Genomic DNA, 16,238 nt, shown 5'->3' with positions numbered 1-16,238 from the left:
TATTTAATTTTTAAGTTTTAATTAAATATTATTAATTTTTATACAATTAAAACTATTTGCAATTTTCATGTTCAATGTCCATCTAGTTGCCAATGTAAAGAATCATTATCAAACTTCCATAAATACACACACACATTTAAAAGTGATGTGAAATGTTTAATATTGCAAAATGTTCCCCAGGCATCTTGTGCAATTGTTTTGAATAGTGCACTAATTTGTGAGAATCTTTGAAACCATGAATTGGCACACAAAAAGAAGAAAGAAAATGGATATTTAGCACTACTGGAAATCGATACTTCATTATACAAAATGCTGAAACAGAGAGATTTCACAAGTTAATCAACGTGTCTTTTCTCTTATATGGGCACTTCTGTCATTAAAAATGTTCCCCACATATCTTTTGATAAGACTCAGTGGTAGCAGCAGCACAGCCCACACACCTTCCCATCATCTGAACACGGTGTCCTTTTGTCCCATCATCTGAACACTGTGTCCTTTGTTTCAAGAACATAGGGCAAGGGTTGTGAAGACACGCTTCCCTACGTGAGTTGTGCGGTGGATGTTAAGGTTATGGGTTACACTGCGCCAGTAACAGAGGCAGCCATGTGTTTCTTTGTAAATATGTTTTGTTGTGTGTTTGTGTTTACGTGGAGCCCACTAAAGCACAGGCCCAGGGTGGAAGCCCTTCTTGCGAGGACCAATGGCATCTCTGTGTCAGGGAATTGGGATAGAAGACTGGGTTTTTCAGGCCGGGCGCAGTGGCTCACGCCTGTAATACCAGCACTTTGGGAGGCCGAGGTGGGTGGATCACGAAGTCAGGAGATCGAGACCATCCTGGCTAACATGGCGAAACCCCATCTCTACTAAAAATACAAAAAAAAAAAATAGCCAGACATGGTGGCGGATGCCTATAGTCCCAGCTACTCGGGAGGCTGAGGCAGGAGAATGGGGTGAATCCCAGAGGCGGAGCTTGCAGTGGGCTGAGACTGTGCCACTGCACTCCAGCCTGGGTGACAAAGCGAGACTCCATCTCAAAAAAAAAAAAAAAAAGAAAACTGGGTTTTTCATCTCACAGTATGCTACTGACAACTTTCAGTACTTTTTCTTCTGGTTCCTTACACTCAGGCCCTGCTTCTCCAGAAAACTTGGTGCCTAAGCAATGGACACAATGGTTGGAGTATCTGAAATTTCAAAATTTATTTATTTAATTATTTAAAAAACATTTGTATAGGGCTTACTAACAACTATATACTTTAAATGTGTTAATTCACTTAATTCCCATAATAACTTTGTGAAGTATGCACTATTGTTATTTAATTTCATATGTGAGTAAACTGAGGCACAGAAAGATTAAATAACATGCCCAAGATCAATCAGCTTGCTTGTGGAGAAGCCAAGCTTCCAGTCCAGGCAGTCCTGCTCTACAGATCATCATCTTAGCCTCACTATCAATTTGCTCCTCTTTTAACAAAGATTATTTTTTTCCCATTTAAAAATATATTTTTAAATTTTGATAGTTAATATATTCCTATAGTTTAAACAAAAAGCAAAATGATATAAAAATATGCATTAAGTGCTGAGACACATGCAAAGGAATAAAATTGGACACCCCCACCTCATACCGTATACAAAACTCCAAATGGATTAACAAACTAAATGTAAGAGTTCAAACTGTAAAGTTCTTAGAAGAAAACATGGGCCAATCTTCATCACCTTGGATTTGGCAATGGATTATTAGATATGCCATCCAAAGTGTGAGCAACAACAATAAAAAGCATAGATAAATTGAACTTTGGGAGGCCAAGGTGGGAGGATCACTTGAAGTCAGGAGTTCAAGACCAGCCTGGCCAACGTGGTGAAACCCCATCTCTACTAAAAATAAAAAAACTAGCCGGGTGTGGTGGCATCCACCTGTAATCCCAGCTACTCAGGAGGCTAAGGTGAGAGAATTGCTTGAACCCAGGAGGCGGAGGTTGCAGTGAGCCGAGATGGAACCACTGCACTCCAGCCTGGGCTACAGAGTGAGACTCCATCTCAAAAAAAAAAATTAAACTTTTATATATCACAAACATTATGGAGAAAGTGAAAAGATATTGGTGAAAGAAGAAAATTTCAATTAAACAGGAGGAATAAATTCAAGAGATTTATTCCACATCCTGGTGACTACAGTTAATAACAATATATTATATATCTGAAAATTGCTAAGAGCGTACATTTTAAGTGTTTTCATCACAAAAATGATAAGTAGGGAAGGTAATGCATATGTTAAACAGCTGGATTTAGCCATTTCACAATGTATACATATGTTAAAAGCATGTTGTACACCATAAATATATACTATTTTTAAAATTTGTTGATTAAAAAAATAAAGTCATGCTGAAAGTTAAAAATGAAAGTGAAAAGTCAACCTATAGAATGGGAGAAAATACTTGCAAATTATATATCTGATAAGGGCCTAATATCTAGAATATACAAGGAATGCATAAAAGTCAACAGCAAAAAGATTTTTAAAAATCCGGTTTTGAAAATGGGAAAATGACTTAAATTGACATTTCCTCCAAGAAGATATACCAATGGCCAACATGCACATGAAAAGATGCTCAACATCATTAATCCATAGGGAAATGCAAATCAAAACCACAATGAGATACCACTTAACACCCACTAGGCCTCTGCCTCTCCCTCTCCCCCTCCACCTCCCTCTCCCTCTTTGCACCGTCTCCCTCTGATGCCCAGCAGAGGCTGGACTGGACTGCTGCCATCTCCACTCACTGCAACCTCCCTGCCTGATTCTCCTGCCTCAGCCTGCCGAGTGCCTGGGATTGCAGGCGCGCGCCGCCACGCCTGACTGGTTTTCATATTTTTTTGGTGGAGACGGGGTTTCGCCGTGTTGGCCGGGCTGGTCTCCAGCTCCTGACCTCGAGTGATCTGCTCGCCTCGGCCTCCCGAGGTGCTGGAATGGCAGACGGAGTCTTGCTCACTCAGTGCTCAATGCTGCCCAGGCTGGAGTGCAGTGGCGTGATCTCAGCTCGCTACAACCTCCACCTCCCAGCCGCCTGCCTTGGCCTCCCAAAGTGCCGAGATTGCAGACTCTGCCCGGCTGCCGGCCCGTCTAGGAAGTGAGGAGCGTCTCTGCCTGGCCGCCCATCGTCTGGGATGTGAGGAGCCCCTCTGCCTGGCGGCCCAGTCTGGGAAGTGAGGAGCGCCTCTTCCCGGCCGCCATCCCGTCTAGGAAGTGAGGATCGTCTCTGCCTGGCTGCCCATCGTCTGGGATGTGGGGAGCGCCTCTGCCCCGCTGCCCCTTCTGAGATGTGAGGAGCGCCTCTGCCCGGCCGCAACCCCGTCTGGGAACTGAGGAGTGTCTCTGCCCCGCCGCCACCCCGTCTGGGAGGTGAGGAGCATCTCTGACCGGCTGCCCCGTCTGAGAAGTGAGGAGCCCCTCCGCCCGGCAACCGCCCCATCCGGGAGGTAGGGGGCAGCCCCCGCCCGGCGGCCGCCCCGTCTGGGAGGTGGGGGGCGCCTCTGCCCCACCGCCACCCCGTCTGTGATGTGTACCCAACAGCTCATTGAGAACGGGCCATGATGACGATGGCGGTTTTGTCGAATAGAAAAGGGGGAAATGTGGGGAAAAGAAGGAGAGATCAGATTGTTACTGTGTCTGTGTAGAAAGAAGTAGACATAGGAGACTCCATTTTGTTCTGTACTAAGAAAAATTCTTCTGCCTTGGGATGCTGTTAATCTATAACCTTACCCCCAACCCCGTGCTCTCTGAAACATGTGCTGTGTCCACTAAGGGTTAAATGGATTAAGAGTGGTGCAAGATGTGCTTTGTTAAACAGATGCTTGAAGGCACCACTCCCTAATCTCAAGTACCCAGGGACACAAACACTGCGGAAGGCGGCAGGGTCCTCTGCCTAGGAAAACCAGAGACGTTTGTTCACATGTTTATCTGCTGACCTTCCCTCCACTATTGTCCTATGACCCTGCCAAATCCCCCTCTCCGAGAAACACCCAAGAATGATCAATAAATACTAAAAAAATTTTAAAAAAAAGAAAGAAAAAGAAAAGAATAAAGGACTTATTATCCTAAAAAAAAAAACAAAAAACAACAACAAAAAAACACCCACTAGGATAGTCACAATAAAAAAATTTCTAATTTAAAAAATGTGTTGGCAAGAATATGGAGAAATTGGAACCCTCACACATTACTGATGGGAATATCAAATGGTGCATCCACTGTGGAAGACAATTTGGTGATTCCTCAAAAAGCTAAACAGAATTGCCATGCAATCCAGCAATTCCACTCCTAGATGTGTACCCCAAAGAGCTGCAAACAGGTGCTGAAACACATACTTACACATGAGTGTTCATAGCAGCACCCTTCTTGATAGCCAAAAGGTGGACACAATGCAAATGTTCATCAAGTGATGAATGAACAAGCAAAACGTGGTATCTAAGTACCATGGATTATTACTCAGCCATAGAAAGGAATGAAGTACTGATACATGCTACACTATATGTGAAATTTTAAAATATCATGCTAAGTGAAAAAAGCCAGACACAAAAGGTCACATATTGTGTGATTCCAGTGATACGAAATATCCAGAATGGGTAAAGCCACAGAGTCAGAAAGCAGATTAGGAGTTGCCAGGAGCTAGCGGGAGGAGAGAATAGGGAGTGGCTGCGTAGCGAGTATGAGATTTTCTTCTGGGATAATGAAAATGTTTACAACTAGCTAGTGGTAGTGGTTGTATAGCATTGTGAATGTAATAAATGCCACTGAATGAAACACTTTAAAACGGTTAATTGTATGTTACATGAATTTCACCTTTTGTTTTTAAAGGATGCATTGAGATATCATGCCCCCACTCCTGTCCCTCATCTTTAACCATTTCCACATTTCCTTTATCCTTCCAGGGCTGAAGGATGGAAACAGTATTCTGCCTTCAAAGAGAAAGACAGGCAAAACCCCAGCAGGCGTGTGTTGCCCCAAGTTTCAGAGCCCACAGAATATATAGAAGAGCATTCAAGATAGGACTGTACTAAACATTTAATGTAGAAATAATGCCAATTCTACATTAATTCTTCTACAATATTGTGGAGAGGAAAATAGTCCCCCACTCATTCTCATTAAAGCCAGCATCGCCCTGAAACCAAAACTAGACAAAGACACTGTAAGAAAACTATAGACCAATATCCTTCATGAAAATTGATGCAACAATTTGAAACAAAATTTTACCAAATAACCAACAATATATAAAAAGGACAATACATTATGACCAAGTGGGATTTACGCAAGTTGAATAGTACTGGGTTGGTTGAACACTCAAGAATCAACAATGTAATTTGCCATAGTAACAGATTACAACAACAGCGACGTGTGATCATCTCAATGGATGCAGAAAAGCCATTTGACAAAATCTAAACACATTCCTGATTTTAAAAAAAAAACCTCTTAGAAAACTAGGAATAGAAAGGAACTCCCTCCACCTGATAGAGGCTGTGTACAAAATACCTAAAACTAACATCGTATTAAATGCTTTTTCCCTAGTACCAGGAACAAAACAAGGATGTTGGCTCTCCCCATCCCTATTCAACAACATATGGGAGGTTTTATCTGGGGCCATCAGGCAAGACAGAGAAATAAGGTTATCCATATTGGAAAAGGAGAAATAAAACTGTTCTTATTTGCAGGCGACATGATCATTCATGTAGAAAGAATGCAATCTACAAACAGCTGCTATAACTAATACATGAGTTTAACAGTGTTGCACAATACACAATTAATATACACAAATCTACTTTATTTCTATATTATAGAAATTAAAATTTAAAAATACTGTTTACAATGTCTCAAAATATTTGAAGCACTTAGGAGTAGATTTGACGAAAGATGTGCAGGATCCATACCCAGAAAGCCACAAAACACTATTGGGAGACATTAAAGAAAACCTGCATAAATGAGAGAACCCCCACAGGAGGAGGGGAGTCTGGTTCTTTGGTAGAGTGTCCCAGCCTCAATGGGGCTTGCTCAGATGGTCAGATCTGAACTACAGTCCGTCAGTTATAAATCAGAAGAAGTATGCAGACAAAGGCTTGGGCAGTGAGCTTAGGCTGACATGTTCTTCCCTTCTGTGTGGCTTATGGGGGATGCCTATGAGCTGATTGCAGAGGTAGATGTATAATGGAAAGAACATGGGCTTTAGGGCCAAGCATACCTAAGCTGAGTCCCAATGCTGCCACTTCAGCTGCTTGACCCTTGGGTAAGTTGCTGTCTTCTGAGCCTCCATTTCTTTATCAGTAAAGGAGTGACTACAGCAATACTGGCAGATTCTGGCCAGAGGCTCACTGATCTCTTCCTGGCATCAAGGAAAGCCACATTTCCCAGTCTCTCTTACAGTTAGTTTGGGGCCATATGATTAATTCCGGCTAATGTAATCAAGTGATGTGACAAATACCAATTTCAGACTTGGTCATAAAACCCCAGTTTGACTAATCATGTTCTTTCTCTCCCCGAGGCCATGGCTGGAAGTGAAAGCTTCTGAGATGGCAGAGCCACGTGATAGAAGGAGCCTGGATCTCTGGGCTACTGCCTGGAAGACAGCTGCTCGGGAGAGCTGCTTGACTCAGTGGACTGTGACATGAACTAGAATTAAGTTTTGTGAAGTCACTGAGACTTTGGATTTGTTACAGCAGTTAGCATAACTATTAACTTACCTTGCAGGGCTGGTGTTGGAATTCTTTACAGCGTATCCATCCCATGGGTCAGTTTCCTCTGCCTTTGAATAGGGTCTAGCACATAGTAGGTGCTCACATAATTGTGATTACAGTTTTCAGGAGAGCTCCTCCTTCTCTCCAACCTGCTGCCTCCTTCTGTTTAAGATACTGCCAAGTACCAGCATCTCAGATACTTTGACTGCTTAAACCTGTTTGATATTACTTAGGGACAGAGAGTTCAAAATGAGGGCACAAAAAATGTGAGAGCCAAGATAGAGACAATTTTTACAAAGCTTCAAATGAACAGATAAATGTACAACAATAAAATTTAGGGACTTCCTGTAGTCACTTGGAAATTTCTGCTCACAGCCTGCCACCTTTTTCCCCACTACAACAGCTTTTGCTGCTCGGTGTGGTGCCTCATGCCTATAACCGCAGCTATTCAGGAGACTGTGGTGGGAGGATCATTTGAGGCCAGGAGTCTGAGACAAGCCTGGGCAACATAGTGAGATCCTGCCTCAAAAAACATAAATTAATAAGTTATATGGCTACTTTATTTTAAAATAAAATATGTATATTATCTTCCTCAAGTTGTTTAAGCTAATTGACTGCTCTTCACTTACCATTTGAACCACCTATTTTACTCTACAGCATGTTTTCACTTTGACCAAAAATAAAATCATTAGGGGAATAGACATATTAAGGTCACAGAAGTCTCAACAATAAAATAGGTACTGCTGAGAGCAGAGATAAGGAGAGAAGTAGAAACCAGTTTCTTATTCCTCAGCATATCTCTAGAAACTGCCATCTCTGTATTACTAGCAGCTTATCCAAATCCCCAGTGTCAATAAACAGGATGAGGATTCCGTCTTTGGATGGCTGGCAAATGAAAAATATGCTCTTGTGTTTTAAAGTGAGTGTCAAAAGTGATATACGAGGGGAGCCCGGAGTCCCTTTTCTGTCTCCATGGAGGTATGTGGCAAGTCCTCTCCTAAGTGAGAAGCCAAACTTAAGCCAAACCTCCCTAGGCACACTCCAAGGAAATACCAGGGCCAGAATTAAGGCTGCCCGAGAGGAGGACCTGCAGGAGCCAGGGGCTTACTCAGGAGCAAATCCTTTGCCTTCGTGGGGAAGGAAAGCGATTCACCTAAAAACACTGTAAAACTCTGAACACAAGGATTGATTCACTTTGTCTACCAAACCCTTCATTTTGGGTGGCTAGGAACAGTATAAATTGAGTACCTTTATGCATTCTTACCGAGCAAAGCTTTGTGGAAGATACAAAGGTGACCTCTGTTCCCAAGAAATCAGACATCGCAAACTCAGATGCTTGCAAGAGTCAGAGAGGTAACATGACTGAGTGAAGAGACCAGATCCGTTATAAGAAACCTGAGAATGGCCACTGCCATTCAGCCTCAGAGTCCAGGAGACAGCAGCAACTGAAGCAGCTGGGCACCTGGAGACCCCACGTCTCTTTCAAAAGGTGCAGCCACCACTCAGATCCAGAAGGTTATTTCCATGAAGGCCCAGTATTGCCAGATGTTACGATTTGTGAAGAAAATCCAGAAATGTAGGTTTTTATTCAAAATGGCCCTTTTTTTTTTTTTTTGTCACAGAGTCTCACTCTGTCACCCAGGCTGGAGTGCAGTGGTGTCATCTCGGCTCACTGCAACCTCCGCCTCCCAGGTTCAAGCAATTCTCCTGCCTCGGCCTCCTGAGTAGCTGGGACTACAGGCGCATGCCACCACGCCTGGCTAATTTTTTGTATTTTTAGTAGAGACGGGGTTTCACCATGTTAGCCAGGCTCGTCTCGAACTACTGGCTTCAAGTGATCCTCCCGCCTTGGCCTCCCAAAGTGCTGGGATTACAGGTGTGAGCCACCACACCTGGCCAAAAAGGCCCTATTTTTAAAGATTGGTAAGTGACTATTTTTTCCAAATTCTGTGCCCTTCTAACTCTGTGAGCCAAAAAAGACATCTCTGTGGGCTGGACTCAGTCCTTGGGCTTCCGGCTTCCGGCATGCACCTGGATCCTAGACTTGTAGTTCACACTACTCCAAAGATTTCAGGGGGCAAATTGGGTTTTGGAACATCCATAAAATTGAAGAGCAACTGTTTACCTCCAAACAACTCCCAGAGCCAGGAGGAAACTTAGAGTTCAAGTTTAACTTTTAAGTTTAAGTTTCTCATTTTACAAAAGTGGAAACTGAAGTCCAGAGGCAGTAAAAAAGGTAATTAAGGCCCTGCTCAAGGCGAGGTTTTTGTCAGCCTGCTGAGAGCCACCATATATATTTGGAAAACAAGTGAGGCAGTAAAGGCATTTAACTGGCCACCCTCTTTCTTGCCACATGCTAGTGAGGCCACGCCTCAGGCTCCTGGAATGCAGCTTTTGTGCCTAGGCTGTTTCTAGGTGGGTGCCCTGGGCCTGAGAACCTTGTTTGCCCCTGAGCCCACTAGAAATGTTTTACAGCCCTGTCGGGGACAGTGGGGTTGGGGGTGTCGGTGGGTTGGGGGGGTCGGTGGGGTGGGGGGGGTCGGTGGGGTTGGGGGGCGGGGTTGGGTTAAATGTGAGGATAACATTTTGATTCATGACAAAATGAGACCAGTCCAGAGAGGGGGTTATAAAGGGTCTGAATAGCTCCCTCCAGGTTTTTGAGCAAATTAGCATTCAACAGTGATTTAAGAGCTAGGGAGGTCTCCCTCTACCTCCAAGGAGACTTGTCTTTACTTTCCATCCCCTGGGAGTTTCTGAAGGCAAGAAAAGGCCACTTCTGCCACCAGACCACTAGTCTGCCTTTGTTTGGCCATGCCTAAGAGAAGAACAACTTTCAGCTTCGTAATGTGGATATATTTTTTAAATTGCATTAGGAAGTTGTAAAGTAATGAAATACTCCATGTAGAAAAATCTGAAATATAAATAAAAGCATATAGAAGGAAAAATAACTATAATTGAACAATCCAGAAACAATCTGGTATCATATTTATTTATTTATTTTTATTTTTTGAGATGGAGTCTCACTCTTGTCGTCCAGGCTGAAGTCCAACGGCACAATCTCTGCTCACTGCAACCTCTGCCTCCTGGTCCAAGCAATTCTCCTGCCTCAGGCTCCTGAGTAGCTGGGGATTACAGGCACCCACCACCATGCCTGGCTAATTTTTTTATTTTTAGTAGAGACGAGGTTTCACCATGTTGGCCAGGCTGGTCTCAAACTCCTGACCTCAGGTGATCCTCTTGCCTCGGCCTCCCAAAGTGCTGAGATTACAGTGTGAGCCAGCACACTTGGTCCATATTTATATTGGATGTACATATACAATTATATACATGTAACATGTGGCAAGATGTAATATTTATATACATATACTTTATAATTTTAAACATTAAGATTTTATTTATACTGTTTGGTAAACTGTTTTCTACTTTATTGTGAGTATTTTTATACATTTTAATTATTATTCTTTTTTTATAGCTTTACAACATCCCAAAACATTGAATATCAGACTTTATTTTGGTGGTTCCTTTGAGGGGATCAAAGACTGCTTAACTAGGAAGTTTCTCATAAAATTTAATGCCAGAGTCCTGAATCTTTTCCTGAAAAAAAAAATAAATAAAATAACTGCTTTTGCTATCTCCCAAAGCCTGGTAATAGTGAGGTAGAGTCTCTTAAGTGGAGAGAGGAGAGATGGACACAGATTTAAACCACAACACCTTCCTGGGATACTCACTAAGTAATTTTCAAAAATCGGTTGGTCCCCTCACTGGGATACTTGGCCTGAAACACTCACACTGAACCGAGAAAATAGCCTAAAGTTAGGGTGACGTGGCTGGGACTCTGGCTGCCATTACCCAACACAGCACACCAACCCATTGACACTGACACTAAAAAATGGGAATTCCTAATGCAAAAAGTTGAAGAGGATGTTGCTGGCCCTGTGCCACTCTTCCCTTGCACACGGCCTCTCCCAATAGAACTCCTGTCGACAGGCGTGCTTTGCAAAGCCTCATCTTGATATTGGCAGAACAATCATTCTGAACCTGATCCTGAACACCGACTGTTTGTTTCTGTGTAGAGACTGCCGGTGTCCTCCTGGCTGCAGGTCCACAGAGTGAACAGGGCCTTCTCCAGAGGCAGCCGGGTCCTTACCAGAAAGAGTCCACAGCAGACCCAGGACAAAAAGATTGTCTTTCAGGTAAGAAGCACAGTAAACACAGGACACCTTCCTGCAAGGGAGGGTCATTGCCTTTGAGGATTCACTGACTTTGGTTTTCCTGCAAAAGGCCACTTATCTTCATTCTTCCCCTGCCCCCTTCCCCAGCTGCAGAAGCTATTTTTAAATCACCCTAGCAACTGGAGGACACAGGCGAGGCCTCCTGTGATGCTTCAGTCACCAGAGACTGAGCAGGAGGGTGCTGGGAGAGTGTGGCTGCCCTGCCAGGAACCGCAGTCTGCTTCTCTTTCGCCTGGCAGAAAGGCGTCCTCATAGTACATACAGACCCAAGTTCCTCACCTCACCTCTGCCTTTGTTCCTAACCTTGCCATTGTCAGTTTGTACTGAGATGACTTCTCAGACTTTAGCTCCCAGGGAAAACTGTGTGGGCTGAGAAACCTCTGAGGTACTTCTGTGCTGGGCAGGTTGCAGGCAGGGCTGGTGGTAGAAGTGGCCCACCCCCAGTGCAGTAAATAAAAGCATACATAGTCTCTAGAGAATTTTTTGTTTTGTTTTGTTTTAGATGGAGTCTCACCCTAATGCCCAGGCTGGAGGGCAGTGGTGCCATCTCGGCTCACTGCAACCTCTGCCTCCCTGGATCAAGCGATTCTCCTGCCTCAGCCTCCAGAGTAGTTGGGACTACAGGCGCCCGCCACCATGCCGAGTTAATTGTTGTATTTTTAGTAGAGACGGGGTTTCACCATGTTGGCCAGGCTGGTCTCGAACTTCTGACCTCAAGTGATCTGTCCACTTCAGCCTCCCAAAATGCTGGGATTACAGGCGTGAGCCACCACGCCTGGCCTAGAGAGTTTAAAATCAATAATGAAACTGACTTAAAGCGGACTTACTCTTTCCTACATCATGGGGCAGCAGTTCCTTTGTCAGTGATCAATACTCCTCTATGGTCCCCTCCCTGTGTGCCTGCTGCTTTGGTGGCTATCCTGCTGGGAAGCTAAGACATTCCTCAGCTCAATCACTTCTATCCAGTCCTTTGTGCTGGAGCTTGACTATTAGAAACAGAGACCTCCCTGGCTGCATGGACAATTGCAACCATGCACCTGAAATGCAAAGTGTCTACTGTTTGAGGAACTCTTCCTTCCAAGCCCAGAAAAAAGTGAATTACTGTGAACTGGCCCCCAAAAGGCCTTCTCCCACCCCTCGTGATAAGCCTACTCACAGAGATTCACTCCTCCAGGTCCTGAATGGAATGTGTCCTTCATAATTCCTCTCCAAAAGGAATTACCACTTGAGCCAAAAGCACTCATCCCTCAGAGGGGGTTAGATTGACCACTGGAGGGCAAAGGGAGGTGAAAGGAAGATGGAAGAAGTAGTCACAAAAAATTTTCATTTGCTTACAAGTTTGGCCTGGGACCTATCTGTGCGTATTTTTGGCTCTGAGACCAAATATGTAAACACAATAAACATATGCCAAATGAAGGAAATCTTATTGCATGGTCAAATTTCATGCCATGCCCCGAAGGGATATTTTGTAAGTGCAGTGAGTTCCGAGGATACACAGGCATTTGCTAAATTGGGGCCTTTGGTGGCATTTACTCTTTAAAGGAATTATTTGCTCTTTCTGCATTTTTATACTACCCCATCTGGAACTTTTCCCTTAACCTCCCTTATAAGTCCCTCAGTTGAGTTAAATTCTCTCTTACTTTGGTAAAAGCACCATTCACACTGAGGTGCGTAAGACGCAGGAGTTCAGGACCTTGGCAGTCTGAAAATACACTTGTGGTTTGGATTAATATTCTCTTTTTCTGTTTTTAATCCTCTTGCATATTTACGTAAGACTTTTCCCCTCTGGGGTTCCTGTTGCTTCTTAGCTGTGATCTGTTCCTCCCAGCTTCTCCTAGAGGCAGTAAATGGGTATTGCCATGCCATTCAGGACCAAGGAGGATCCTTCTTCATGTAGTGAGTCCAGGAGGCTTCAGCACTAACAGCCCCTCACTCCCCATCCCCAGGCAACCTTGAGCTAGTCTCTTCTTCCATCTCTACCCAACTTCCTTGCCATCCTGCACTAAGTTACTTTAATAACTCTCTGGCTTAGTCAGCAGTGTCGCTTACGACCATTGCCTGAGAACAGATAGGATACTTTCACAATCAGTGTAGTCCAGGCACCAATCAGTCAGAATGAACATTCTAGAGCTGCAGCAGTGACCTTCGGGGCCAGGCATTCACCCTGGCGGGAGTGGGCAGAGGTCTGGGGAGTCCCAGTTGAGGAGCTGGGGCAAATGGGATAGCTGGTAGCATTCCGGTGGTTCAGATAGCAGTTCTTTTCCAAGGAATACAGAAATACTTAATCATTTTTAACAACTGGGGCAGTTTTGGCTGTGTGTATTGCCCTACCAAAGAATAAAGCTTGGGATTATTATTAGATATCCCTTGAGTGAGGACAAAGGTAATTTACTCAATTCGTTTGCTGCCTTTATGCAGATTGTGAGCAAGTTGGGAGTCTTGCATAAATTTTCCTTCAAAGAGGTTGAGAGCAGCCTTTCTCTTCTCTCTGAAGTTCGCCCTAAAAGTCATGCCTATTCTCCTTGTGTCTTCTTTAGTTGACCCCAGGTTGCACCTGGTTGTATCATGCCCCCCTCCCCCAACCCCCTGTCTCTTCCTTCTCTTTTCTAGGAGTTCAAGCAGCTTACCGAGGCTTAAAATAGACAGTAATAGCAGCTCTCAGTTTGTTATTTTGTATGTACTCCGTATCCTTAACACTTGTCAAGGATAAAAACACACTCAAGAAACACACTTTGCTTTCAGTAACTTCATTTTTCAGAGAAAAAAAAGTAGACGGAGTCAGCTCTCAAGACAGCTGTAGCTGTATATGCAGGTATAGCACTACAGAAAACCAGCCAAGCAGAACCACAGAGGCGTGACCCACCAAAGACTGAGCTCTGCCTCCTCCTGCGCAGCCATGGCCACCACTGACCGAGCACTGCCCAACACCTGATCTTTGTTTGTTTTGAGATGGAGTTTCGCTCTTGTTGCCCAGGCTGGAGTGCAGTGGCGCGATCTCGGCTCACCGCATCCTGGGTTCAAGCGATTCCCCTGCCTCAGCCTCCCGAATAGTTGGGACTACAGGCTCGTGCCACCACACCCGGCTAATTTTTTTTTTTTTTTTTTTTTTTTGTATTTTTAGTAGAGGCGAGGTTTCACCATGTTGGCCAGGCTTGTCTTGAACTCCTGACCTCAGGTGATCCACCCACCTCGGCCTCCCAGAGTGCTGGGATTACAGGCATGAGCCACCACGCCCGGCCCAACCACCGGATATTTATGCCCGTCTGGGACCCTCAGAGCTTTCTCAAAGGGATTCCCAAAATAACTCATTTTAACACTTGGTTTTTGGCCACTCATTCCTTAAGCCTAATTCCGCTAATCACAGTTACTTCACAAGAACCTAAATATGCACTGGGTTACCTCTGTTGTACGTTTCAAGTGATCATGCCACCAAACTTTGCATCCAGTGTCTTCTGTTGTTCGTGTGGTCATATCAGTCTAATTTTACTTTTATTGTTAGTTGCCTGACGTAGGACGTTATTTTAGATTCTGCGTGAGATTGTAACGTTCACTTATATGCTTGTTGTAACTATCTAAATATTTCAGTGGAGTAAAAAGGCTGATTGGCACAGGAATGTCCAGCTGATGAACAGGTCATTTAGGATTTCCTTTCTCTGGACAGACAGTCAGAACCACTGTTGGAAGGGGAGGCACCACCTTGGGAGCTGATTGTTCTTTTTGTCAGATGGTTGGCCTGGGAAAAGTAAATCTGCAGAAAGCTGTTTCCTCCTAATGTAAATTCTAAACTTGACATTAGATAGCTGCTCCAACAGTATGAGATTCCCCAGAACTCAGCATAAAACTTACTACCTTTTATGATCTGTTGAATGTGAAAGAAAATTTGTTTGGCTATTGGTTTCGAGACCAAGATGACAAACAGCCCTCCCATGATATTACCCTGAAAACATTTGATTCCTTTCAGTCAGTGGATAATCGAACCCAAAAGGTTATTAGCTAATTCTTATAGAAAATTGTTCAAGTTATCATTCTTGGTCTCTTCTTGAGGTAATGAAATTCATAGCTGTAGAAAGTATTGTGTTTTTAAGCTTCACTGGTCTTTCTTTATTTTCTGGCATTTTGCAAACATCAGTTTGTTCTCTTCTGAAGGTTAACACTTTTATAGCTGATCATATTCCATGTCAAGCCTTTCAATTTCTAGACTGGGCCCATTTTTTTAAACCCTGGAATCATGTGGCAGCATTTCTACCCTCTGACATAAATCCTTTAACTCAATTGTGTCTTCCTTAACATTCAGCAGCCAGGATTTGGCTCACAGCTTCCTAGTCTGGAGGCCCCCATGGTTTTTATAATGAGAGGATAGTGTTTCTGATTCATATTTCATTCAAAGTAACCCACATCCCATTAGGGGTAATTGATGTTGCCCAGCCTGTTTTACTGTTTTTGGCTATCACACTCTCTAGAGTCTAGAGGCAACATCTTTTGTGAATATGGTGACTCTCAAGTCACTGCCCTTTGTCTTAACTGGTCCTTTAGTTGCCTATCACCCTATAAACATAATTTGGTTTACCTAAAACACTCAGCTTTATAAGATTATACAAGAGCTTGTTCCCACTGAATTGACATTCACAAACTAGAGATATTTAGTATCAGTTTTATTTGTTTCTGCATGACAAAATATTCTGAGGCCAATCTCTGTTCTTTTTACCTCCTCATTCAGAAAAATTACCCTTTTATTTTCATGCCTTTTATTTCCTGTTTCTTAGGCATGTCCCTGGCCATAATGGAGGAAAACTGAGTTATCATTAATATAAGGGAAACACTGTGACAGACTTTTCACAGATCTTGTTACAGGGTTTTGAAAATATCAGTAATGTCTAATAATTCATTTTCTCATGAGTGCTCCTTACCCCTCAAAAAAATATGGTGTGTGGCCAGGAATGGTGGCTCACGCCTATAATCCCAGTACTTTGGGAAGCCAAGGCAGGTGGATCACTTGAGCTCAGGAGTTCGTGACCAGCCTGGACAACATGGTGAAACTTTTTCTCTACAAAAAAAATACAAAAAGTTTGCCAGGTGTGGTGGTGCATCTGTGGTCCTAGCTACCCGGGAGGCTAAGGTGGGAGGATTAATTGAGCCCAGGAGGTCAAGGCTGCAGTGAGCTGTGAACGCACCATTGCACTCCAGCCTGGGTGACAGAGCAAGACCCTGTTTCAAGTATATGTATGTATGTATGTATGTGTGTATATATATATATATACACACATACATGTATATATATATATATATATATATATA

The 16,238-nt window shown here is 43.6% G+C and overlaps 1 annotated feature.

Annotated features, from left to right (window-relative positions):
* Positions 13,885 to 13,974: a silencer, noted in NCBI's record as "silent region_14984". NCBI's record gives its function as "represses an Ori minimal core promoter by ATAC-STARR-seq in GM12878 lymphoblastoid cells {active_cell/tissue: GM12878}" and the evidence as "EXISTENCE:reporter gene assay evidence [ECO:0000049][PMID:35858748]".

This window comes from Homo sapiens, chromosome 3 (genome assembly GCF_000001405.40).
Source record: "Homo sapiens chromosome 3, GRCh38.p14 Primary Assembly".
Lineage (NCBI taxonomy): Eukaryota > Metazoa > Chordata > Mammalia > Primates > Hominidae > Homo > Homo sapiens.
Note: the sequence above shows the minus strand (reverse complement) of the source record. Positions and strands in the feature narration are given on the sequence as shown.